General features: G+C 47.5%; 1 protein-coding gene across 12 annotated transcripts in view; it reads right to left on the bottom strand.

Annotated features, from left to right (window-relative positions):
• Positions 1–26,923, bottom strand: part of FRMD5 (FERM domain containing 5) — a 328,710-nt gene that overhangs the window by 18,497 nt on the left and 283,290 nt on the right. For 11 of the 12 annotated variants that reach the window (XR_931927.4, NR_104455.2, XM_047433194.1 and 8 more), the window contains 4 exons: positions 20,622–20,719; positions 16,568–16,691; positions 12,915–13,002; positions 2,721–2,809 (listed from right to left, as the gene is read on the bottom strand). Coding sequence is in view for 9 of the 12 variants with exons in the window: in XM_047433194.1 (XP_047289150.1) it covers positions 2,721–2,809; positions 12,915–13,002; positions 16,568–16,691; positions 20,622–20,719 (399 nt within the window). In the remaining 3 variants the exon portion in view is untranslated. The remainder of the gene's footprint in view (positions 1–2,720; positions 2,810–12,914; positions 13,003–16,567; positions 16,692–20,621; positions 20,720–26,923) is intronic. The other variant, NM_001286491.2, reaches the window with a different exon arrangement.

The raw sequence follows: 26,923 nt of genomic DNA on the forward strand, positions 1-26,923 counted from the left end.
GGCCAAAGTTCAAGATACAGCAAATAATGAGAAACAATGCAACCAGGTTCTGAGGGAGTTGAGTCTTTCAGGTGACTGTGCCACTGGATGGAAAATGCAGTTTAATGCAGACAAATATCAAACAATCTCAGGGAGCGGGGCAGGGCAACATACCAAAGAGAGAGAACAGATTACATGGAACAGTCATGCAGCGTACTGACCAGGAAAGGGGCTTAGGGGTTATTGTAGAAAAATCCTTGAAGCCACCAGCCCAGTGAATGGCTGCAGTAAAAGAGGCAAACAGGATACTGGGGTACATCACCCGTGGGACAGACACAAATCAGAAGAAGTGACATGGTTACTGTACATGGCACGGCCTAGACCTCACCTCCACATCCACCTCCTGCTCTCAGCCTTGGTTACATTTGCAAAACGGAAAAACTACTGGGTCTTAGGTGAATGTCCCTGAGAGCCATGGAACTAGGCCTCAGCACTGGTTGCTCCTCACTTCCCTTCTATCTGCCCAACATAGCTGCCCTCTGGAGTCTCTCAGCCCTCTCCATGTCACTGGAGGCCCCATTTTTCAACCCAACTGGGACCCCCAAGGCGGTCTTGTCATGCACATTCACCTCCACTTGGCTGCTGCTTTTTTTTGTAATTTCTAAGGAGATTTCCTTCATCTCCTAGGAAATAGTAGAAAGGTAGCGAGAATCATGTACCCAACTTACTGCTGGAAAAAGTTCAGGGGACAGAGGAAAATCACTTGTTCTCCATGCTCCTGAAAATCATGGCTGGGTCAGGATGAGATTTCACAACTTCTGACCACCAGTTCTGAGCTAACACAAGTCACACGGTATTCCTTCCCTGTTTGATTCCCTCTCAAACTCCCTCTCAATCAACCATCAATCTCATACACACACAGTACAATAATGCCAATTGGTTAATATATAGACAAGCACACAGATCACCTAGGTTCCAACAAGCAAGCTAGGAAAGTAAGGAGTTTTATTTTGAGAGTGAGATTGGGTTTACATCTATTATTACAGAGTTGACACATGGTGAAGAGGAGACTTCTAGAAGAAGTGGTGCATGAGAGAAGCCGTGGAAAGAAAAGTGTCTGTGAGAACCAAGAGCCATCATGGTTTCTGGAAGGGTGGGTATAATTTAGGGACTGCAGGTGTCTGTGACAGGTGTGTCCTACTTGTTTCTAGCCAAACATTCCCTCTAACAGGGACCTCACCCAACAGCTACTCTGGTTGGAATGTGGATCTGGGCCCTCTAAAGAATATCAAATAGCCCAGATGTATCCAGGCAGCAGAGACCCCACACTAGGAGGGCTGAGGCCTGATCCTGCTCATTGCCTTTTTCTGAAAAGCATTTTGTTGGACAGGAGATTGCAAATCCTCACATCTTCACCCAGAGAGCACAGTGAAGTGGGCCGACTTGAGGATGCCTAGGAAACAGGTATGTTGGGGTGTATTCTGGTAACTCCAGGGCAGCAGCTGCCTTGTGGCACGGCTGTTGTCCTGGGGAGTCGAGTTTCCTGTCCTGTGTGAGGAGCAGTTTCACCAGCACTCTGGCTGACGATCGTAATGCCCTCCTTCACAAAATCAAGGTGGGCTGGAAAGGCGGTATCTGTCCTCAAGCTCAAACTCAGTGGGGGAGCTGAAGAGGGCACAGCGGGATAGATGGTCTGCAGTGTCCCCAGCAGAACGCTGACTAGGAAGCAACTGTACTCAAGATTCCTCATGAGCTCTCCTGGAGAAGACAAACCAAACAGACTTCCCCCCACTGAGCTCTGCTGGACCAAGGGAAGCCACTTATCTAAGCCCCTAGAAGGAGCTGGCCAGCTTAGACTTGGCAGTCTGAGGCCCAGGAAGGTACAGAAATCACAAGAGCTTAGTAGAATATGCAAAATGTTTTGATGACGCTGACAGATGTTTGTATGGGCTGGCCAGCTAAAGGGTCTCCAGGAAAGCCAAATGTCAATCAACAAACCAGAGTCTGCCCAGAGGCATGCAGCAGAACAGACCCCAAATAAAACAGAGAGGGGCAGGAGAGGAAGCAGCTCAGAGTAGCTGCAGCTGAGGCAGTGGCTCTTGCCTGTTAGATGGGAGTGGAGAAGGGAGGGAAGGAAGAAAGAGTGGGAATATGACTCCTGGAAGCTGAGGACACTTAAATGCCCAAGAGGGATAGGAGTGAGACAGCAGCAACTGAGCTTTTGCAGACACGATGCCCACAGGGAGGGCTGGTCTGAGGAGGGTGTTTTGCCAAAGTAGCAAAGGACTTATATCTGCCCCAGAGGTCACTGTCTGTGAGCCCCTCCCTTGTTAGTAGAGCAGGTAAGGGCACTAAGCCATCCACAGAGATGCTCCAGAACAGCCGGCTCAACAGGGCTAACTATGACCCTCAGTGGGTGACGGCCCCAAGGATTCAGTTCTCACAGGAACTTTGCTCCGCTAACACTGGCTCCAGCCCCAGGCCTCTCACCCTCCCCAGAAATCAAACCTCTGTATCCCTTTTCCTTTCTGGAGAGGCTGTTGGCTCTCAGGGACACCCCTTTAGAAGAAAAGGATCCCTAGGAAGAGACCACTCCCTTCGTCAGTTACCACCATCAACGCAAGGCTTTGGAGAGGGCTCTGAACCAGAACTGCCCAATCACAGACAAAGGACACGGGAACCGTCGCCCCTCCCCAGTTGGTGAGATATAAAGAGCCTATTTTGGAAATGAAGATGCTCACCATTTAATGAAGTGGACCCTCTTGTTTCCTTGAAGAACAACAAACCCAAAAGGAGTGAAGGCCAGAAATGCAGCATTTCCTGACACGTCCTGCAACACAGAAAGACTTCTCATCGGGTGATGCAGGCACAGAGGTGAAAGGGTAAGAAACACAGCTGTTCATAGGTGATGCAGGGTTAATACTTGGCAGTAGGTCACAGAGGGAAAAGCATATCATCTGGAATCACAAGACCATAGTTTGAGTCTCAGCCTTGCCACTTGCCAGCCGCATGACTACAGGCAAGTTACTTGCTGAGCCTCAGTGTCCTGATCTGTAAGTTGTAGGTTATAATGATACCAACCTTAGAAGGTTGCTGTGAACATCCAAAGAGAATGGCAACACCTCATGCATTGCTGATGGGGTTGTTAAATGGTACAGTCACTTTGAGAAAGAGTTTGAAAGTCATTTAAATTGTTAAAAATAGAGTTACCATATGACCCAGCAATTCCACTCCTCAGTATGTGCTCAGAGATTTAAAAATGCATGTCCACACAGAAACTGGTACATGTATGTTAATAGCAGCAGTATGTGTTAAGAGCTAAACAGCAGAAACAACCCAATCCATTTTCCAGTGTAAAGTTTCCATTAACTGATAAATGAATAAACAAGTAGTATCATGATACAGTAGAATCTTATTCACCGGTAAAAAGGGATGAAGGACTGATAGACGCTACAACACAGGCGAACCTTGAAAACATTATGCCAAGTGAAAGAAGCCAGTCACAAAAAATCAGGTTGTGATCTTTTAACCCTGTGAATATACTAAAAACCACTGAATTGTACACTTTAAAAGGGCACATATCGCCAGGAGCAGTGGCTCGTGCTTATAATCCCAGCACTTTGGGAGGCCGAGGCAGGTGGATCATCTGAGGTCAGGAGTTCGAGACCAGCCTGGCCAACATGGTGAAACCCCATCTCTACTAAAAAGACAAACATTAGCCAGGCGTGGTGATGCGTGCCTGTAATCCCAGCTACTCAGGAGGCTGAGACAGGAGAATTGCTTGAACCCAGGAGGTGGAGGTTGCAGTGAGCCAAGATTGTACCACCACACTCCAGCCTGGGTGACGGAGTGAGACTCCATCTCAAAAAAACAAAACAAACGAAAAAACAAAAAAAAAAAAAAACATTTTATGGTATGTGAATTACATCTTAAAAGGCTGTTATTAAAGAGTGGGGGAGTTGTTATCCACTTTCATAATAGTCCTATAACACTGGGCCCCTCAGGAAAGTTTAGCTGAAGAAAAAAACAAGAAGCAACTGGCAAAATAGAACAGTTGCCACCAGCCCTGAGGTGCCTGAACCAACAGAGAGGGCCTCCTGGTCACTGGCACCATCAGTCAGTAAACACCAGGCTTGAGGCTCTGTTGAACATAGTGGGGAGCGGGCGGAGCAGAAGCTGTAGGTCTCGCTTCCTCACTTGCGAAAGTGAGCTCCCTGAGGTCTAGGCTGGGTGGAGGATTTTGCCCTCCCAGAGGGGCTTCCTTTGTGACAGGGGCGTCAGGTGAGATTTGGCACCGTCAGGCTGCATGAATGGTGATGGAGAGGGTGTAAGTGTGTTGAGGTGACCAGAAACTTATGCTGTGATGCTGGTCAAATGTGCCTGCAGGAGAGTCTTCTGGGCCACAGCTCAGGTGGTGCCATGGAGTTAGGGCCAGACACCGGGCGTGAGGCATGGGTGTGGGGGCTGAGGCTGCTGGGCCAGGTCAGCCTGAGGTTTGGCTCTCCTGGCCTCTCTGCTTTCAGGGCTCACCTCCCTGACACAGATTCTCAGCCTGATTGGTCGCAAGAACAGTGGGGCCTCTGCAGGGCCTCATGAGTCCTGCCTCAAGAAGCAGTCCAGTTTTGCCTTAAAACTATCTCTCAGAGTCAGGGTTACAAGTATGAGCATCTGGGTCCAGGGAATAAACTAAGTGTATGTTTGGCAAACATTTGCAATTAATGTATTGTTGTTATTATCCTTTCCTCAGGGTCTGTCATGATCCAGACACTTGGCTACAAGCACAATGTCATGGGCAGAACAAAAAGCTGTTTAAAAATAACTGGAATGCAGACACTATGAAGCCACAGGGCTGATTTTCCTCCTGCTTATAATCAGTGCCTGGTGGTGGTTATTAATATCTGAGTACCAGGCACTACACACAAACACTGTTCCTGTCAGGAGGCACCAGGGCTAATCTGGCAGGCTTGGCAGAGGTATGGGTCAGGGAAGGGTGGCCTTGAGGTAAGAATGACTGGGAGAGGTTGGGGAGGGAGGCAGCCTGCCTGTTCTGTCTCTTCTGCTCACTGTGCAAGCAGGACCCGGGGAAGTCCTACAACTGCAGGCTTAGAAAGAAAGAGACTGGGAGTGGAGACCTTATTGTGTGAATGGTGGTATAGAAAGGGTCTCAGAAAATGTTGAGCAGATGAAGGTGTTAGACAGTGGGGTGGGTCAGAGGGGCCAGTCTGGCTGCAGTGGGGAACGTCCGTATGTGCGTAAAAATGAGAGGGGAGGCAGAGGTGAGGCAGAGGCACGGAAGGGGTCATAATGCCCGCTGAGATAAAGGAAAGGCCTAGGAAGGAGAGGTGGAGGGATGGAAATGAAGCCTTGGGCCTGCAGGAGGCTACTGGACAGCTTGAAATAACGGAAGGAAGTAGGGAAGGGAGTTGGGAGGGAAGGCAGGGGAGGGAGGCAGCGGAGGGCCCCCCTCTGCTTCTTCCACTCTGGCTCATATGGGCAGTGACAGGCAGAAGAGCACCCCCACTAGAACCACAGTGGTGCGGGCTCTTGGTCAAACCGCTCGGGTCCAGGTCCAGCTCTGCCACTCATTGTGTGGCTGTGGCCAGGTCCTTAATTTCTCCATGGTCAGACTCCTTGTCTTAGAATGAGGGTTGATCGTGTTACCTACCTCATAGGTTATGTTTAGGAGGCACCTCACAAATGCTAGTGGCCATGTTTTTTGTTTGTTTTAGAGACAAGGTCTCACCATATGGCCAAGGTGGGTCTTGAACTCCTGGGCTCAAGTGATCCACCCACCTCAGCCTCCCAAAGTGCTGGCATTACAGACATGAGCCACCACACCCGGCCTGTGTTTGTTGTTAATATTATTATAGCTGCTACTAGTTAGCTGAGTTTGTTGAACTTAATACAAATCCTTTTGTAAAATCTAACATTTTACTATTTTTCCTGATGTTGACAGATTTAAATTTTGCTAGTTAGGAAACGAAAATGTGGGAAGTTAGAATGAAAAAAGGAGAAGTAATTCACTGTTAGGGGACCATGGAAGAGTGGGGTGATCCATGAATCTGAAGTGAGAATGGGAAGGGAACAGAGGCCATGACACAGTCAGAGATCCGCCAGAGTCCTCTCAGTGACCTCTGTCCCTCTGCAGAGCAAAGGGAATACACAGTCCCACAAGATGGGTGGTGCTGGCCAGGTTGCCCTGCATCCTGCAGATACCTCAGAGCTGGCCTCTGAGTGAAGGCAGGTGTTAGAGTTAGAGGAGCACAGCCTCTCCTAACCAGACTGGCTGCTTTAGAGCAGAGAGCTGGGAATAAAACCCAATGAAAATGAGATGCCACATCATTTCATAAGCAATAATAGCACCTTGAACAATCCCAATTGTTCCCAATCTCATATGAAGAGAGCAGTTCTCCAAACTGCTTCAAATGCAACAGATGCAGATGAAGGCCACCGCAAGACCCTGACACCCGGTATCCGCAGGGGCAGATGACAGCTGGGATGTTTGCAACTTGCCTCTGGCACATGAGGCTCAGCAATCAGTGTGGAAGGGACTCGAATTACAGTGGGAAATCTCACATCTGTACTGGCATGAAAATACAAGCAGGCAGCCACACTGACACCTTCCCTGGAACTTCTCCAGATTCTTCTATCTGACTTGTCATTCTTGTTGTGAGCCTGCCGTTGGAGTTTGTGTGCAAAATAACAAGTTGCATGACAAAAAGAGGAGGGAATGAGGACAAGGTGAGAAGTGAAGAGTCAACAGTCACCTGTTCTTCAGATCTCCCATTTTATCAAGCTGGATTCTCTTTCTTCTCTGTCCCCTTCCCATCCCTATGAAATCAGTGCCCACAGGACTGAGCCATTAATGGAGTCGGGAGGTGGAAAACAAACTAGGGTCCTGATAGCTATGCCGTGGATATCGCCAGCTACACTCTGCAGCAGGTAACAGTCGAAATAATCTAGTTCACTTCTTCAGTTGTGAGGTTAAAAAGAATTGTTTTCAATTTCTCATCCTTGTGAAAAGAGCTTCTGTCTCAGTTTAGGACCCCAGCTCTCCTCCTTCTTTCCTCTGTGACTTCACTTCTCCAAACCTCGGTTTCCTCATTTGCTAAATAAGGACAATAATATATACCTGGAGAAATACTACTTCCATCTGATTTTAGGGAGATAGACCAAATATCTTACTGCTAGGATGTGGCCAACGGTATTCTCCTTGGAGAGGGGATGAACATGCATTCCTTGTCATTCATGTGTTTACATGGCCCCTGCCATCAAACTTCACCTGTGTCAGTCAACACCAGCAAAGTTCACCCTAGGATGATCACTCTGCCCAGGAAAGGATTCTTGCAAATCAAAGCATTGACTGGTTCAGAAGCAGGAACATCTGGCCACCATTTCTAGTCCCCACCAGTTCCATTTCCAGATTCAAAGTAGCCTTCTGTCTCCTGCCACCCTAGAGGACACACTGGGTGTGACTGAGTAGGCAACACAGCATTCTTGGTTGTTAGGCCTCTAGGGTCATACTGTGCCCTCTCTGGGCCATGACTCAAACTAATTCAATTTTGATGAATGAAGCCACTATTTCTTATAAAACCCTCTGGAAGATGATTCCACATGCTGTACCAGATACGCCCATTTCTGAAAGAGCTCACAGTTGGGAAGCTGAAGTCAGTCATGAAAATCACCCAGTTTGAATATACTACACTTAAACTTGGCCACAATAAACTAGAATGGAAATGAAGAGGAGAAGGAGGAGGAGGAGGAGGCACCCTGTAAGAGATTTGGTGTTACTCCATGACAGCTCAGAAAGGAATTCCTGGTGGAAACTGCACCAGGTGGCTTTGGTGAAGTTCTTCATTTCAGCAGTAAATCTAACACCCTACCTGCCACACAGCCAAGATGGGCCCACCCAAGGGTGGGACAGCCATCATTGATCCTTCTTGTTCTGTTTCTCAGAAGTGAGGGGTGCTGGGCATGGTGGCTCACACCTGTAATCCCAGCACTTTGGGAGGCCGAGGCGGGCAGATCACCTGAGGTCAGGAGTTTGAGACAAGCCTGGCCAACATGGTGAAATTCCATCTCTACTAAAAATACAAAATTAGCTGGGCGTGGTAGTGTGCACCTGTAATCTCAGCTACTTGGGAGGCTGAGGCAGAAGAATCACTTGAACCCGGGAGGCAGAGGTTGCAGTGAGCTGAGATTACACCATTGCACTCCAGTCTGGGCAACAAGAGTGACACTCCATCTCAAAAAAAAAAAAAAAAAAAAAAAAAAAAGTGAGGGGCAACTCGTCAAGATGGGGGATGGGGTTCTTCTTTAGAGAGCTGGCTAGGTGGCTGGATTATGAAAGTAATGATTCCATTTTAAGGGCAGAGGGACAGTGTAATTTTATTTTTGTGGTTGATCTAACCTAGATCCTGTTGAAATCAATTTTATCCTGGTCTATACAAAGCAGACATAAAGACACTGGTGAACTTACATTAAATTTTTATAGGATGATGATATGGTTTGGCTCTGTGTCCCCACCCAAATCTGATGTGGAATTTTAACCCCCATGTGACAGGGGAGGGACCTGGTGGGAGGTGATTGGACCATGGGGCAGTTTCCCCATGCTGTTCTCATGATAGTGAGGGAGTTCTCACAAGATCTGATGGTTTAAAAGTATGGCATCTCCCCCCTCATTCTCTCTTTCCTGCTGCCATGTAAGACATGCCTGCTTCCCCTTCCGCTATGATTGTAAGTTTCCTGAGGCCTCCCTAGCCATTTGGAACTATGAGTCAATTAAACCTCTTTTCTTTATAAATTACTCAGTCTCAGGTAGTTCTTTATAGCAGTGTGAAAATGGACTAAGACAGATGATATCAATAATCTTGTAGGTCAGTGTCCTTTCTGTGTCAGAATTGGCAATGAGTTGTGCTTAGTTCCTAAATTCCATCTCTCCAGAGGGAAGACCATGAATAATAATTGAAAAAGCACAGCACTGAGACTCAGATAACCCTGGGTTCGAGCCTCAGTATTGTGTTACCCAGTACCTTTGGGCATTACTGTGTTACCCAGTACCTTTGGGCATGTTAGTTGGTTCCTTAGAGGGGACTTATCTCCCTCATATCCCTTCTTGTCTGCATCTTCAGAGGCTCAGTATTCTTATCTTAAAATAAGGACAAGAATATCTTCTTAGCAGTGATGTTGTAAAGATTCAATGAGATAATGTACAAAGCTGGCACAGACAGACTCTCAATAAATGGTATCTTCAAGACTCTTAACAACAAGGCTGGGCATCTGTAACAGGCCTCACTACTCCATGAACCGTAACAGGACATCTCCGTAAGTTGGGCCCAGGAGGCCAAAGTACAGTGCTGCAGGAGACCCAGGCCAAACCACCAGTCTCAGGGCTACCTGGATGGAGCAAGATGGTGGCTCCTGAAGTTGGAGTGCTGTCAGGGCCAGGGAACAGATATAGCAATGGACTGCCAGTGGTTTGCTTCATTCTCCTCCTCCAGCAGCTGTAGGCTTGGGCTGCTGGGGCTCCCGCCAGGAGTTGAGGGCTGAGGGTCAAGGCAGAAAATGCAGGACAGCCTTGTCCTGCACTTTTGGAATTTGGGTATTAGCTAATAGAGCTCTCTGGCTGTCCCATCCAGCATTTGTAGAATCTCCTCTTCCTGGTCCCAGGGCCAGACAAGGACATTCTGGGCAGAAAGAAACCATCAGTGTGCACAGGAAGAACAGCAGCTTCTTAATCAGTCCAGGGGACAGAGCCTAAGCTAGAGCGTTGTTCTGCTCTCATTTAATTATCAAAATGATTCCTCTTCTGTCCTCCCTAGGGCTGCATGCCCCAGATTCCCTGGGCCCAGTAATTGCCTCTCTGTTAATAGAAATCATCAGTATTTATTACACCAAGTGTGCCAGCTTATTTCAGCTCTTCTTGTAGCAGCATTAAGGCGAGCACTTGATAGCATATCACTAAAGTGACTCCACTTAATAACAAGAGTAAAGGCCCCTAAACTGTTCTCTTTGCTGGGAGAGCTGAGGAATCATGGCCAGAGCCTAATGAGAGGAGCTGAGGGGCTATGTGTGGGGTCTGCAATAGGGCCCTGACATGGCCCTGGGTGAGGAAGAGGCACAGGGCTCAGGAACAAGGGACCTGAGCACTCCCCCAAAAGAAGTCTCCTGGGGGGTTTCTGTTCTTCCATAGGGTACATAACAACGGGTAGTGACTTGAGTTCAAATTCTTGCTCTACCGCTGAGGGCTTGTGAATTTTGGCCTCCTGGAATGCCAGTCTTCTTATCTATAAAACAGGGAGAATAACATCTACCTCCCAGGGCTGGTGTGAGGATTAAATGAGAACATAATGTGAAAAGACTCCACTGAGGCCGCCATGGGAGGCATACCACAAACATCTCTTCTTCCCTCCCTCCCTCTTTCCTTCCAGGAGTTGATGCTATGGGATTGAGATGGCATGACATAAGTGACTGGGTGGCAACAGTGCCTGGTATGAATGCTGGTTCCTCCCTGCAGCCTCTTCAGCCTCTCTGCGTCCAATGATGGACAAACTCACCCAAGACGAGGCTGAGACAGGAGCCTCACAGTCCTGGGGTGCATGTGTATTTGGGTTGGAAACCAGGCTGGCTGCCACTACAGCTTCCAGAATCCCGTGGGCAACGGTGGAGAATCCCTTTCCCCGCTCTAGTCAGTGTAGTGCTCGGGCTCACTGTCTGCCCATCTCTGTGTCTTTTCAACTCTGCTCAGGGACCCGTCTCTGAAGAGGTGGGTGCTATGTGTGGCCTCAAGGGGACTGGGCAGGTTTGGGGTCAAACGCAGAGGTAACCTGGCCCTTTCTGATGAACATATCTTCAGGCAGCCGTCTTTAAGGTCCTAGAGTGACTCAGCAGTTCAGGGAGCAGTTATTGAACACAGACTGTGTACTTTCAAGTGAGGCTCAGAGAAGCTCCCAAAGGCCCCAGTAAACAGGGGATGGGAACCGGAGCCCAGGGCCAGCTTATCCAAAGCTCTCTTCACTCCTGTGTGGGTGCCCTGCTAACAGTATTGGAGCAATTTATGGAGGGGTTTAAACTGCATCTGTTACACAGAGGGCATTGTTTGGAAGTTTTGCTAATGTGTAAATATCCAAATGTCAATTCTCTGGTATAACAGGCATGAATGTGTTTTCTGACAGTGTGGCCCCAAGAACACAGGGGTTACTTTGCAGCAGGCTGTGCTAGTGGATAGGGAACTGTGGGGTAGGGAAGATGACCAGGGTTTCTGAATATCAGGATGTTCTCAAGGTTCATAACTCCTAGGCAAGAATAAATCACCATCTTCTCACCAAGGGACCAAAGGACACTGCTTTGTCCCTATGTCACTGTGCTCATTCATTCCTGGTTTTTTTTTTTTTTTTGAGACAGAGTCTCGCTCTGTCACCCAGGCTGGAGTGCAATGGCATGATCTCAGCTCACTGCAACCTCCACTTCCCGAGTTCATGCGATTCTCCTGCCTCAGCCTCTTGAGTAGCTGGGATTACAGTCATGTGTCACCATGTCTGGCTAGCTTTTTATATTTTTAGTAGAGACAGGGTTTCATCATGTTGTCCAGGATGGTCTTGAACTCCTGACCTTGTGATCCGCCCACCTTGGCCTCCCAAAGTGCTGGGATAACAGGTGTGAGCCACTGCGCCCGGCATTCCTATTTGTTATGCGCTATACACTGTGTCTTCAAAAATTCATATGTTGACATTGTAACCCTCAGTACCTCAGAATGTGACCTTCTTTGAAGACAGGATCTTTACAGAGGTAATTAAGTTAAACTGAGGTCATTAGGATGGGCCCTAATCCAATATGACTGGTGTCTTTGGAGAAATCTGGACAGAGACATGTACAGAGGGAAGAAAGCGTGAAGACACAGGCAGATGACAGCCATCCACAGGCCAAGGAGAGGGGCCTGGAAAGGATCCTTCTCTCAAAGCCCACAGGAAGAACCAACCCTGCTGACACCTTATCTCAGATCTCCAGCCTCCAGAACTGTGAGACAATAGACTTCTGTTCTTTAAGCCACCCAGTCTGTGATACTTGTTACAGAAACCCTAGGAACTAATATACTATTCTTTTAATTTTTGCTTGAAGCTTAGTATCCCCTCTCCAGTTAGGAAGAAAAGGTTGATGTCTTCCTGTTCCTGGCTGATACTGCTTCCTTCAGATCAGCTTGCCAGTTGGTTTTACTGGTGATACTGGACCCTCTCCAGTAATGGAAAGAGAGAGGCAGAAATGTGGAGAAACTGAGGTAGAGACCAGGAGTGTCAAAGCAACAGGGACAGGAGGTAACGTGAAGGGCCACAGCCACAGAGAGAGACTGGAAGGGGCCATGGGTCTGCACAGGCCTCGGCAGTGACTGGCTGCCCCCGCTCATCTCCAAAATGCCAGATGTGCATGAGTAATTACAGAGGTTTTCTCTGGGCAGCCTCCCCGGCTGGTTCTCGTCTATCCCTCACAGGCGCATAATGGCATTAAATGTGACTCCACTGCAGTTCCGTGCAGTGACTTATGCCACTGCAGTCAATAAAACCCACTCTCGGAAAGAAACTAGATTACAGGTCAGGAAAGGGTGGGCAGGCACTGAGCCGCCTCTGATCGTTCTCTGTGGGGGGCCTTCCATATCCCTCCTCTCTTCATTTCTACCAAATTACCCATTGCGGGGCCCTAGCTTTGGATTTGTTATTTAGATTGACTTTGCCTCGGTTCCTCTGACATTGATGTGGCACCACAAAATTATGTAGCATGTGATCCAGAGGAGTTTTCAAAGCAGGCATTTTCTCTGATATCTCACTGAAAGTGCCAGCCATGTAAACGTTGAAGGGGGCCTCTGAGCGCAGGCATGGGGGCTCTTGCTCCTGATGCCTTCTAGAGGAGGAAAGGTCATGCAGTCTCCAACCAGGGGGTCTTACCTTACATGGGTGAGGATCCACTCCATATGTTTCCAATGTCTGTGCTTTTCTTAAGAAGTTCAGCTCTGATGTTGCTGGTGTTTGACCACTGGAATAAAGAAGATGAGATGATTTCAAGGTGTCTTGTTCCCACAGGTTCCCCTGAGGTAAACTCTCTATGAAGATGTGCTTAGGATGAGCCACACATCTCAGTTTGTCTAGGGTGTGCTCCCTGCTTGGTTCTAGGACCAACTTCGAGACTCCTGCTAGAGTCTCTGACTGTCTTCAAACGTTTTCAGAGTGAGGCAGGCTACATAATGAATTACTTGGGCTGAGTGTAAACAATGGGGAGTGGTGGGGACTGTGGCAGCACCATCTTAACTCTGAGATTCCCATCACTGAGAATGCAGGGCCCACTACTTGGGAGGCTGAGGTGGGAGGTGGGAGGATTGCTTGAGCCCAGGAGTGCGAGGTTTCAGTGAGCTATGGTCACAGCCCTACACTCCACCCTGAGTGACAGAATGAGACCCTGTCTCAAAAAAAAAAAAAAAAGAATGCAAGGCTTAGCTAGATATTGTGATTTTAAAAGAAAAGTCAGAGATACTGATTTTTATGTGGTATTTCACAATTTAAAATACTATGGGGTAAAACAAAATACATCTGTAGGCTGGAAGCAGGTCATAGGCTTCTCATATGTGATCTGTTCTAGACTGAAATATAAAGAAGGGGCTCATATAGCTTGCTGGTGCCACCCAGCCCTCTTCCTTTGCCAAAAGGAAACACAGGAAATTAGGGTGAGGAGAGGCAGGAGACAGTGCTGAGCTCCCATGCTCCACAACAGCTGTCTGTCCATAGGGTGATGACCAGGAAAATGAAAGATGCTGAAAAAGGCAGAGATCAGCTCCGGCTCCAGGCCATCTGAAGGGGCCTTTGGCATCACCCCTTCCCACTGCCTCTTTAGCAGGTGTGTTGATGGGCTCATTGCAGACCCAGTGGCAGAATAACCATCAGGCTCTTGCCTGGGTCCAGAGCCCTGCAAAGCAGATATACTTCTACAGATACAGGTTTGGCTTCAGTGAGGAGGGGTGGGCAGCTTGTGAAGTCAACATCTCTGATGGCTGGTGGACAGGACTGCACGTTGCTCGTTTCTAAGCTTATCATTTGCCTCAGGTGATATGGCCAGGCAGGAAGATAAGCTGACCCCAGGCCAGATTCCCCCTAGTGTCCCTCTGGAGAGGCATTAGTCAGGCAGCACCTTTATGTGCCAGCCTCTGTGCTACTTGCTGGAAAATATATGAAGAAACACAGTATACAGTCTGTGCTCTCAAAAGCCCATATCACAGTTGCATAAAGGAAGCATGGATGTATTTTTACATTATGAAGACGAGGCAGGACCTATGGAAAAAGTACCTGTGGAAGGGGGTATTGCTGTGAATAAAGACTTCTGCATCCACTAGTGTACCTGAGGCACAGGGAAGGTAAGTTAGGAAAATATCTGTGTGGCAAGCAAAGGGCTGGCTAGAGCACAGCTTCCCTTTCCAGGGAGTGTCCTCTGTCTGCAGGGGGAGTGGGCCCTGTGGGCTCCATTTACCCTTGGAGTTGGCCCAAACCTCCAGGGTCCTCAAAGCGGGCATCATTTCCTGGGGGATCCCCTGCTTTGAACTAGGTTTCTGGAGGGCTGTCCCTACTATTCTGATGTCTCCTAAAGCCCTCCAGGCAGTTCCAGCACATCCCTGATCTCTTTGAAGGAACCATGAGGCCCCTGCCCCCAACACCACAGGCCCGTGTTTATTCTGATTTTTACCACAAGGGGTCGCTATTCCCTAACAGAGTGACTTGAGGAGCCATGGGGTCCTGCACCTGGGAAGGCACACCGAGGGAGAGGGGCGGGAAGCATCTAAGATTCCATTTGTTCGGTGTCGCCATTCCGCTGGGAGGGTCAGGAACCCCTCCTGCCACAAGGCATGGGCAGAGGGGTCTGTTTACAAAGGCTAAGGAGGCTTTGGGTTATATTTGTTGGTAAAATCATTGAGTGAAGGGTTTCTGGGGGGCCTGTGGTCGGGGAAGGAACAAGTTGAAGCTTAGTATTAGCATTAGAAATATCCAGCTCTGCTCCCTGTTGCCAGGCATAGTCTTTCCTCGGAACAGTAGATACACAAACCTTTTAAAATATTTTTTTAAAGCTGTAATGTATTATAATGACAACATAACTTTTTTTTATTTTTAATTTTTTGAGACAGGGTCTCGCTCTGTGGCCCAGGCTGGCATGGAGTGGTGCAATTCCAGCTCACTGCAACCTCCACCTCCCAGGTTCAAGTAATTCTCATGCCTCAGACTCCTGAGTAGCTGGGATACAAGCGTGTGCCACCACATCTGGCTTTTTTATTTATTTACTTTCATTTTTAGTAGAGACAGGGTTTTCGCCATGTTGCCCAGGCTGGTCTCGAACTTCTGACCTCAGGTGATCTGCCCTCCTCCGCCTCCCAAAGTGCTGGGATTACAGGTGTGAGCCACTGCGCTTGGCCAACACTGCATTCTATATCCTTTTTCCTCATAGTTTGTCAGTTTGGGGAATCTGTGCCGTAACCAAATGGAGCCCAAACACCCTATTGTTGCTTTTTAAAATCAGGCTTTGTAGAAAATCCTACTTCATGTGGGTGAAAAGCTGCATTAATGCTGTTTTATGGTATTCAGCATATTCTGGGCAAAGTAAGAGAAGCTGAGAAAGATGAGGCTCCAAACTTGAAGCCACGTCTCCTCCACTTCTCTCTGTGCAAAGTCGGGGACTCCAGGTAGGGTATGGGGGGGGCCTGAGTCAGGCGGGGCTGAGGACATACTTCTGAACCAGAGTGCTCCCAAGGCACCCTCAGCATTTATGAATCAGCCCTGCGCACTCCATCCTCCACTGAGAAGCCACCTGTCACACTGTCACAGACTAAGAGCAGAAGCCTGCCCTTTTTCACATCCTCACTCAACCTCTCCTTTTTTTTTTTTTTTTTTTGAGATGGAGTCTCGCTCTGTCACCCAGGCTAGAGTGCAATGGCGCAACCTCAGCTCACTGCAACCTCTGCCTCCTGGGTTCAAGCGATTCTCCCGCCTCAGCCTCCGGAGTAGTTGGGATTACAGGCACCTGCCATCATGCCTGGCTAATTTTTGTATTTTTAGTAGAGATGGGTTTTCACCATGTTGGCCAGGCTGGTCTTGAACTCCTGGCCTCACGTGATCCACCTGCCTCGACCTCCCAAAGTGCTGGGATTACAGCCGTAAGCCACCGCGCCTGGCCTTTTTCTTTCATCTTTTTTATCTTATGCAATTTCCTTTATCTTTTCCTTTTCCCCAGTTCATGCTTTCCTCTGTATCTTCATTAAATATCATAGTGAGGCAGATGCCTTTCAAAGGCCAATCCCTCTCTGTTTCCCCTATAACACAACTTCTCCCTTGTCTTTAAGCTTCAGGCTAAATCGCTTTTCTTGGAGAGGGAGCCTACAGGGCTTGTGGCTGTGACTTGTGCTGTCAGTGTATCACTGACAATGGTACATCCGCGGTCAGGAAGGCTGGGGAGCATCACTCTGTGTCAGTAAACAGTCTGCGAGAACAGAGGACACGGCGTGGAGCCTGCGTGCTCAGGCTGTGGAGAAGCCACAATGTTCTGGGCCTGATTAAGTGCCACGTACCTCAGTTCCGTCTTGTGAATCTCAGCAATTTTCCTTTCCAGCTTCTCTGAATGTTTAGGGAAAAACTGGAACTTGGAGCTGTAGCCTTCAGGGTGTTTCCCTGAGTCATAATCCCCAATCTCCGCTTTCAAAAGGAAGGTGGAAGAAAACAATTGTGGAGACAGGTAAATCATCATTGACAAAGCAACAAGAGATTAGCACACAGAGCAAAAGCCAAAATACACATCAGATTTATAAGAAACAGTGGATTCTGAGCACGGCTGTGGGCTGGGCAGAGGGCAGGCCCTTCAGGAGCATGTCCACCTTTGTTTTTCCAGGTGCACACACTGGGTTGGCATTCAAGTCTATGCAGAGAGACAGAGAGCTGACCTTGTGTTCTGAGGTCACCACAAGTAAATTTACAATGAAAGAGCAGAGGCCTGCACTATGGTCCTCATCCATTCCGCCATGAGAAGATGGTCTGGGAGCAATGGTCTTTGTGGCAGCACAGGAAGTGGTGAGCTTGATCAGAAAGGGAGATCCTCTTGGGCCTCAGCCAGATCATAAGTCTAAATCCTAGTTTGAGGATGTTAGCAGGGACACAGTAAATTGATGAATGAGCTGCGATCCAAATTCAGAACTCAACCCTCAGTTCAAATCAAATCAAATTAATAAATTTGAATAAATATTCATTAAGGGCTGACCAGGTGCCAGGTTCCTTCGAGAGGCCTACAGAGTGGGAAGCCTGGCTGTAACTAGAAAGTATCGTTGAGTTCAGAAGCATCAAGTTCTTTTTTTTTGTTTGTTTGTTTTTAGACGGAGTCTCACTCTGTAGCCCAGGCTGGAGTGCAGTGGTGCGATCTTGGCTCACTGCAAGCTCCGACTCCTGGGTTCACGCCATTCTCCTGCCTCAGCCTCCCGCGTAGCTGGGACTACAGGCGCCTGCCACCTCGCCCGGCTGATTTTTTGTATTTTTAGTAGAGACGGGGTTTCACCGTGTTAGCCAGGATGGTCTCGATCTCCTGACCTCGTGATCCGCCCGCCTTGGCCTCCCAAAGTGCTGGGATTACAGGCGTGAGCCACCGCACCCGGCCGAGAAGCATCAAGTTCTAAGGCTCATTTCTCAAGTCCCTGCCAGGTGTGAGCCTTTCTCCTCCAGCTATTCAGAGAGAGTTTATCTCTAAACCTGGTAAGATCTCAGGGCAGTAAACTTTAGGAGGGCAGAAGACCCACGGTACTTTCCACACCCAGGTCAGAATCCAGCTTTTTCCACGTGAAGCTCTCCACAGGGAGGATGGTGGGTAGGACAAAAGAAAGAGGAGGGGCCAGCTACTCTGTGGGTGCCCTTTTTCCTTCCCAGGTGAGAGCCACAACCACTTCAGATGTGAAGTCTTGAGGGAGGAGAAATATTAAGAGGAAAAGGTGCCCTCCTCCCATGGCTGAATATTGTACTTGGGACTTGTACTTTTTCACTACAAACCTACTCACTGTATCTTCCAAATTACTTGGGAACTTCTACTGTTAGCAAGAGACCCAAGTCTGAAGTCTGGGGTGACCTTGAGCCTTGCAGTCTTTTTTCTTTTGAGACAGGGTCTCACTGTCATGCACGCTGGAGTGCAGTGGCATGATCATAGCTCACTGTAGCCTCGACCTCCTGGACTGAAGTGATCCGCCCACCTCAGCCTATAGCTGAGACTACAGGTGCACACCCCAGGCCTAGCTTTTTTTTTTTTTTTTGAGACAGAGTCTGGCTCTGTCACCAGGCTGGAGTGCAGTAGCGCGATCTCAGCTCACTGCAGACTCCGCCTCCCAGGTTGAAGCTTCCCAAGTAGCTGGGACTACAGGCATGTGCCACCACGCCCAGCTAATTTTTGTATTTTTAGGAGAGACGGGGTTTCACCATGTTGGCCAGGATGGCTTCGATCTCTTGACCTCATGATCTGCCTGTCTCGGCCTCCCAAAGTTCTGGGGTTACAGGCGTGAGCCACCGTGCCAGGCCTAATTTTTAAATTTTTTGTAGAGATGGGGTTTCACTCTGTTGCCCAGGCTGGTCTCGAACTCCTGGGCTCAAGTGATCTTCCACCTCGGCCTTCCAAAGTGCTGGGATAACAGTTGTGAGCCACTGTGCCTGGCCCAGAGTCATTTATATTGATTTTATTTAGAAAGTTCCAAATGGAAAACATCAATGTTGGACGTCAAGTACTTTTTTGAAGGAAAATGAATGATTGGGTAAAACTGTAGAAAAGACTAGAGTTTAAGACTCGACTTAGGTCAGGCCAGGCTTTCTCTTTAAAAATAAAAGGGGCACTCAGGAGTTCAAGATCAGCCTGGGCAATGTGGTGAAACCCCATCTCTACAAAAAAATTAAAAATTTAGTTGGGTGTGATGGTGCACACTTGTGGTTCCAGCTACTTGGGAGGCTGAGGTGGGAGGATCACTTGAACCCAGGAGGTGGAGGTTGCAGTGAGCCGAGATCACACCACTGCACTCTGGCCTAGGGGACAGAGCCAGATCCTGTCTCAAAAAAAAAAAAAAAAAAAAAATTCAAAGGGGCATCTTTGGGTATCTCCCCATGGACTCTCCATGTAGGTGATTTTAAAAACAGGAGTCTCAGAAGTCAAAGTGGCAATGGGCTGAATTTTACATTCTTAACACAGGCAGCCAGCCGTGGTATTTCTATTGCCAGAAGGACTTTAGTTTCTTATTGGCAAGCAGTTTCCAGGTTCTCTTCACAAAGTTGCTTCCAGGATTTCCAACTAAGAGTTCAAATTCTTTTGGGGAAACTTCATGATTTTAGTGCTGTCGTCCAAAATGATCCAGTAGTAATGGCAGTTTCAGGCCTAGGGACTAAGAGGAATCTAGGAAGCGGCACTTAAGTGTCTCTGCATCTCAGGAGAAGGGGACGTGTGTGAAGAGTGCATATCTCTCCCACTGTTTTGCAAAAAAACCCAGTCTGGGCCTCAGCTGGGTAAGCCTCAACTCTTACTTATTAGCCTGTTAGGAAATGTGCTTGTTACTTGGAAACACTTTCAACTTTGAGCACACTGAACTAAAAGGTCTCTGAAATAGATACTAGAATTCTAAGATGCTTCATATCTTGGAGATTTGCCTGAGAGGATGGGGAAAAAATCAAGTCTGATTACACTCCAGAGTCTCAGGGACTTTATCAACCAGGGGCCCAGGACAAATCCCTAAAACAGAGTCAGAATGACTTTAAGGGGCTGGTAGTAAGATCTCAGGCGCAGTTTAGGGTTGAGTGTTCAGTGTTTTCTGGCTCTAGGAAATCCAAGCAAAATCCTCTAACTTGGCTGGGTGTGGTGGCTCACACCTGTAATACCAGCACTTCGGGAGGCTGAGGCAGGTGGATCACCTGAGGTCAGGGGTTCGAGACCAGCCTGGCCAACACGGTGAAACTCCATCTCTACTAAAAATACAAAAAAAAAATTAGCTGGGCATGGTGGTGGGCGCCCGCAGTCCCAGCTACTCAGGAGGCTGAGACAGAAGAATAGCTTGAACCTGGGGGGCAGAGGTTGCAGTGAGCCGAGATTGCACCACTGCACTCCAGACTAGGCCACAAAGCAAGACTCCATCTCAAAAAAAACAAAACAAAACAAACAAAAAAAACTCTCTAACTTGAACTCTGCTTCAAGTTAGATACTGTTTGTTTGTTTGTTTATGTATTTATTTATTTGGAGATGGAGTCTTGGTCTGTTGCCCAGGCTGGAGTGCAGTGGTGCAATCTCGGCTCACTGCAACCGCCACCTCCTGGGTTCAAGCAATTCTTGCACCTTGGCCTCCCGAGTAGCTGGGACTACAGGTGTGTGCCACCACACTGGCTAACTTTCGTATTTTTAGTAGAGACGGGGTTTCACCATGTTGGCCAGTCTGGTCTCGAACTCCTAACCTCAGGTGATCTGCCCACCTCGGCCTCCCAAAGTGCTAGGACTACAAGCGTGAGCCACAGCACCTGGCCTAGATAATGTTTAGATTCAAGAAGGAGTCATCAGTGCTAACTGAAAATAATGTAATCAGTACTTGGCATGAAAAGCAAACTTATCCTGTCAAAAGTCATTACCTTGAAGGATGTAAGCTGCTAACAAGGCAGCATCCGATGTTTTACAGAGGAGTCGGCCATGGTAGAGATCCCTTTTGATCTGCAGGAAGACTAAATACCTGGAGAGAAAACAGAGAATAAACTATAAAGGATTTCTTTGATTGCTTTAAAGATAGAAATATGTATTGTAAGCCTATCAAAATCTTTGTCAGGATACTTTTACTACATTAAAAAAAAATCCTAAAACATAATGTAGAACAAATACATTCTCCATTTCCCTGGAAACTCTTTCAGGTACTTTGCCCTGAACTGACTTGAGGTTCAGTTAAAAATATGCCAGTTTCCTCCTGTAGCTCAAGTCAGAAATGGCTGTTTCCTGGTAAAAGCATCACCCCACAGTGCTGAGCTTTGGAAGGAGCCAGCCCCAGTCGATCTGGTGCCGAAAAAGAAAACTATGCCATCAGAGACTGGCAAACTGGGCCTCTCTCCGCCTTGGATGCCAGCTGATGTTCCTTCTTAAGTAGAATGGTGGGTGAAGGAACTAGCCCAGGAAGAGTTCAGCCTCAACTTACCAAGAGAATCTGTCCATATGTGGAAACAGCCTGCAGTTACCGAGGTCAACCAGACCTTTGAAATGGAATAAAGTGTAAGAAGAGTGAGCCGAGATTGTGCTACTGCACTCTAGCCTGGGCAATCGGAGAGACCTTGTCTCAAAAAAAAAAAAAAAAAAAAAAAAAAAATTGCAACAAGAGGCACTGGTGAAAGAAGCACACAAATGAAGCAGAAACCTGGGGCCAGCACCTCTTTAAATACAGAAAGCTGTTGCCTCAGGTGGAAGCAGGATATCAAAAACAAGAGCAAATAGTAGCTGACATGTATTGAGCACTTACGATCTGCCAGTCCAGGTGTTACACACTTTACATGCAATAACTTATTTAATTCTCACATGACACTTTGAGATAGGTACTGTTATTATCCCCATTATTACAGATAGAGAAGCTGAGGCTTTAGTGATTTTCTCATGGACGTACAACTAAGTGAAAGAGCCAGGATTCAACTTCAGCACTGTGAGACCCCTAAACTTGGCTCTTCATCACTATGATATTCTGCCCTCCTTGCACTATAAATGCTTTGCAGTTTCACTAGTTGGATGGACCCTGTCACAGTGGAATGGAATTGATGACTTTCCATTTTGAAATGTCTTCACAAGGAGTGTGGTCTTTATTGCTCTTCTTAGAAGACCTGTAAGATTATGAGGAGCATCAGTCCCTTGAGTGGGTCACCTACCATGGTGGCTCCTTGGCCAGGGAGCATCTCTGGTGATTTAAAAATATTTCCACAGATTCTTTGATAATCCTAATTTCATGAGGTAGAGCTTAATTCCTTCTCTGAGTATGGCTTAGACTTGGTGACTCACTTCTATCAATAGAATAAAGCATGAGTGAGTGTCTGACTTCTGAGATCATAAAGTCATTGCAGCTTCCTCCTTGTTCTCTTGCCCTTGGATCACTCATTCTTCTTGAGGTTGCTTCAGCAGTCCTATAGAAAGGTCCATGTGGTGAGGAACTGGGGCCTTTGCCAACAGCCAGCAAGGAACTGAGGCTTTCGGCCAACAGCCATTTGAATGACCCATCATGGAAATGAAGTCCCCACCTCCAGTCAAGCCTGTGGATCACTGCAGCCCCAGCCAACCTCCTGACTGCAACCTCGTGATTGACCCTGAGCCAGAACCACCCAGCTAAGCTGCTCTTGAATTCCTGACCCATAGACACTCTGAGACAATTAAACGCTTGTTATTTTAACTTTTATGGTCCAGCATCCCTAGGGGAGTAATGAAAATGTAGTAAAATTCCTTTAAATTCGAACAGTCTGAACCAAAAAGAAATTGACCCCTCCCTGGACAGTTGGAGGTTTCCATTGTTTCTGTTTTCGGGCTGAAGAATGAAACAGAGGATTCCTTGTCCACTTGATCATGTAAAAATGCTCAACAGGAAGAGGGCTGTTGACAGTGCAACTTCTAGGAGGTGGTAGGAAGGGGTCCTAGCAGGTAACTCTGAGAGGCTTGGGCTTGAAGATTCAAGCAATTAACAAACAGAAATGAGGGAGCAACCAAGCCATCTTCTCTCCTCAGCGCTTGCTACTCAAAGTGTAGCCCACATATCAGGGGTATCAGCATCACTTGAGAGCTTATTGGAGATAAAGAATATAGGCCCATCCTACACTTCCACCTACACCTTTTAACAAGATCCCCAGGTGATTTGTGTATAGATTAAAATTTAAGAAGCTGTCCTAAGAAAATTCAAAAGCCATCTTCTAACCACAGCAGGATGGACTGCCTTCCTCAGACCAAAGGGAAGGTGAGTCTTAGCCTGGAAGTTAATAAGAACCCATCCCCTCACTCCCACCAACCCTACTCTGCCCAAATGTTTGCCAAGAAAAACGAAAGGAAAAAAGACATCATGTAGAGTGAATAATTAAGATGGATCTACCAAATCAAGCTCGTCTTCACTCTGCTTCCCACAGCGAAATGCCACACGGTGTGTGGGAGAGAGTGAGTGAGCACTTCTCTGCCTCTCACTGTTCCAACTCCCACCTTCCACAGGCTTCAGCAGGATGTGGATGCAAACCTTTTGCCCCTTACTCACTGATCACTCCCTGGGCCTGGATTCACGCATCACGTCTTCCATGTTTCTCTGCTTGTCTGTGTCCAAAATTCAGGGACTGTACATATTGGACTAAAGGAGATATTACAAAGGGATAACATGGCTCTGGGCAGTGATTCTCAATGTGGCAGAGAGGGGAACATCTTCCAGGGGGAGCCCGTCAGAATCTGTATGTGTTGGGGGTGCTCCTGTGGTTTGAAATGGCCCCTTTGGGCCGGGCGCGGTGGCTCACGCCTGTAATCCCAGCACTTTGGGAGGTCGAGGTGGGTGGATCACCTGAGGTCAAGAGTTCGAGACCACCATGGCCAACATGGTGAAACCCCATCTCTACTAAAAATACAAAAAAAAAAAAAAAAAATTAGCCAGGCATGGTGGTGTCGGCGTGTAATCCCAATTACTTGGGAGAGGCTGAGGCAGGAGAATTGCTTGAACCCAGGAGGCAGAGGTGGCAGTGCGCCAAGATCGTGCCACTGCACTTCAGCCTGGCTGACGAGAGCAAAACTCCATCTCAAAAAAAAAAAAAAAAGAAAAGAAAAGGCCCCTTTAAAGTTTCTGATTTGCTCCCCTTCTCCTCCCACCCAAGGGAACATGATCCTGCTCACACTGAGAACCACTGTCTTTCCAAGGCATCATTATTGATGGCAGGTAATGGCCTCAGGTGAACTGGAATAGAAACAAGGCTTTCCACTGCTGGGCAGGGTTCCTTTTGATTTCTGGTGATAAAACAGCTGCAGGGAGGTTAAAGGCAAGGCCACAGGGCATTCTCAGGCAATGTCATAAAACTAGATGGGAAGAGGGAAAAGGATACACCAGTATCCTAAAGAAACAAACCATAGTTGAGGGCAAGAGGAGATGAGCTCATGAAAGAATCAACTGACAGCTTCAAGAGAGAGAATGAGCTGCACCAGGGCTCCCCCTCCCTTTCTGCCACAGTGGCTTCCATCGAGCTTTGTGTTTGGTTCATTTAAGAAGATAACCAGTGACTCAATGTTGTTGGTGGAAATATATTCCACATGACTCATAGCATCCTTAGACCTATTCACAAGAGACCCTGGCATGTTCTCCCCTGCCACACAAGGGCCTAAGGAAGACTATCTTGTTGCCTGAGGCACTATCTCCAGGGCCACTGTGTGTTGCCAGGCAAGGGATCAGCCTGCTGGGGCTGCCTAGTGCAGCCCTCCTGAATCTCTGAACCTCAGAACATTTCATAGCCAAGGAAATAGAAGTCCAGAGATGGAGAGTGACTTATCTGAGGTAACACAGCAATCAGAATCCAGGCCTTCTGACTCGGCCCATGGTAATTCACTTAGTTATCAGGTTAGTCCTAATCCAAGTCAGGAGGACCCTTTGTTATCAGAGAGATATTCTCACTGAGACTAAAGGAGAAATGAGCTCTAGACCGGATTTAGGAGAACACGCTTGCTTCTGAGGAAACTGGTTTTTTGTTTTTTAAACTCTGCTGATCTCTTTCTGGCCTCAGAGGGGCTTTACCTCACCTCCATTTTTGTTTGAATGCTAGTGTTGTCCTAAATTGATTGGAGTGTGAATCAGGACAGAATTAGCAAGAGCCTGCAAGATGCCAGGGAAAACCTGAGCTTTTGTGTAACACGAACATCTCTCCAGGGTATTGGCTTTGGCATAATGCTTTCTGATATCAGAGGGTAGAAATGAGTCCACAGGCATTTCCAGAGTTTAAGGCTGTGAACTCTGGAAAGCACTGGAGGCTCCTGGAGAGTTTTTTCCAGAAGATCCTTTGGCCTTACCTTCCCTTCAAATAGATTCTTTGCCACTGGCTTCCCCTATTTACTATTTCCTTTTTCCTGACTATAATTATGTTTAGTACGTCTTCCTCCCCAATATTAGACTGTAAGCTCCTTGAAGTCAGAGACTATGTTTTATTTACTTTTAATATTCTTCTACAGAGCCTAAACATCCTGTGCCTAGCTTATCCATCTATCCATCATCCATCCATCATCCATCCATCCAGTTCTGACACTTACTATATGTGCCAGGCACTGTCACAGGTGCTGGGAATGCAGTAGGGAACAACCTGGAGTCCTGTTAATGGAGCTTACATTCCAATGGGGGAGATGGCAAAATAATAACAAAACAAAATAACAATAAAGACTCACATTTACTGAGTGCATGCTGTGTGCCCTGTTTCATTCAGTCCTCCCAGCAACTCTATGAGGTGACTACCTTTTTTTTTTTTTTTTTTTTTGAGATGGAGTCTTGCTCTGTTGCCAGGCTGGAATGCAGTAGTGCAATCTCGGCTCACCACAACCTCCACCTCCCGGGTTCAAGTGATTCTCCTGCCTCAGCTTCCTGAGTAGCAGGGATTACAGGCACGTGCCACCACGCCTGGCCAATTTTTTGTAGTTTTAGTAGAGACAGGGTTTCACCATTTTGGCCAGGCTGGTCTCAAACTCCTGATCTCAGGTGATCCGCCCACCTCAGCCTCCCAAAGTGCTGGGATTACAGGCGTGAGCCACTGCGCCCAGCCTGTGACTACCATTTTAATCCTTGTTTAATGGATGAAGAGACTGAGTGCTTAGAGATACTGTTCTTGCCTTGTCACAGAGCTAGTTAAAGAACAACCTGGGATTTGAAGCCAGCTCTCTGATTTCTTAGCCCAGGGGTTGGCAAACTACAGCCCACTGCCATAGTTTCCAATGGAATAAAATTTTACTGGAACACAGCCTTGCTCATTCATTTATGTATCGTCTATGGCTGCTTTCACACTACAATGACAGAATTGAGTAGTTGCGACAGAGACCATATGGCCCGACAAGCCAAAAATACTTACTATTTGGCCCTTTACAGAAAAAGTTTGCCAATCCATCTTAGCCTAAGCTAGGCTCAAGCGATGTTCACTGAAGGCACAGTGGCCTGGTGACTCCGTTCGTTCATGTATGTCTTGATTCATCCTGTTAACGTTTTTTGGAGCACCTGTTGTGTGTCAGACATTTTGCTTCCTTGGACGGCGGGGCCCCATTTGCAGTCAGTTTCCTTCTCCTACTTGATCTTTCCAAAGAGTTCATACACCTGCAATCCCTGTTAAAAGCCAAATCTGGTACCTGAATTTCCCATTTTCTTTGCCTTGTCTCTAGCCTAGACAAGAAAATCTGTTTATTACTTTAAAAATGACAAAAGAAATTAATCAGGATTTGGCAACTAAATTTATCATCTGGGAAGAAGCCAAGAGATAAACTGAAGCAAGTTCTGTACTCCCTACTTCACCCCCTTCTCTCAGCCTGGCTTTATGGGAATGGCTGAGACAGCAGTGAAATTTAGGACCAATATTGCCTGGAAAAAACACACTGACAGCTAAATTAGTTTGGCAGCAAGGTGGGATGGAGGGCTCTAAGCCAGGGATGAATTACGGATGTTGAGTGAGGCTGGGCCCGGTATCTCCTCTCTTAAGATCAGTAGGGATGTGAATGAGGAGAAAAATGCAGCTAATTCCACAGGCTCACAGAATGCCCCAGGGAGGGGGAGGCACAAAGACTGCAAAGCAGGCCCAGGCACCGGTGGTTCACACTCCTGACAATGCTGGAAAACTGCATACTAGGTAAAGAACGCTGGTGAGGTTGAGAGAGAGGGGAAAATTGCCCAAGATGGTTAGCACAAATGCATGCAGACCGAGAGGAGCTCCTTCTC

The sequence above is a fragment of the Homo sapiens genome, chromosome 15 (assembly GCF_000001405.40).
Source record: "Homo sapiens chromosome 15, GRCh38.p14 Primary Assembly".
NCBI classification, from domain to species: Eukaryota; Metazoa; Chordata; class Mammalia; order Primates; family Hominidae; genus Homo; species Homo sapiens.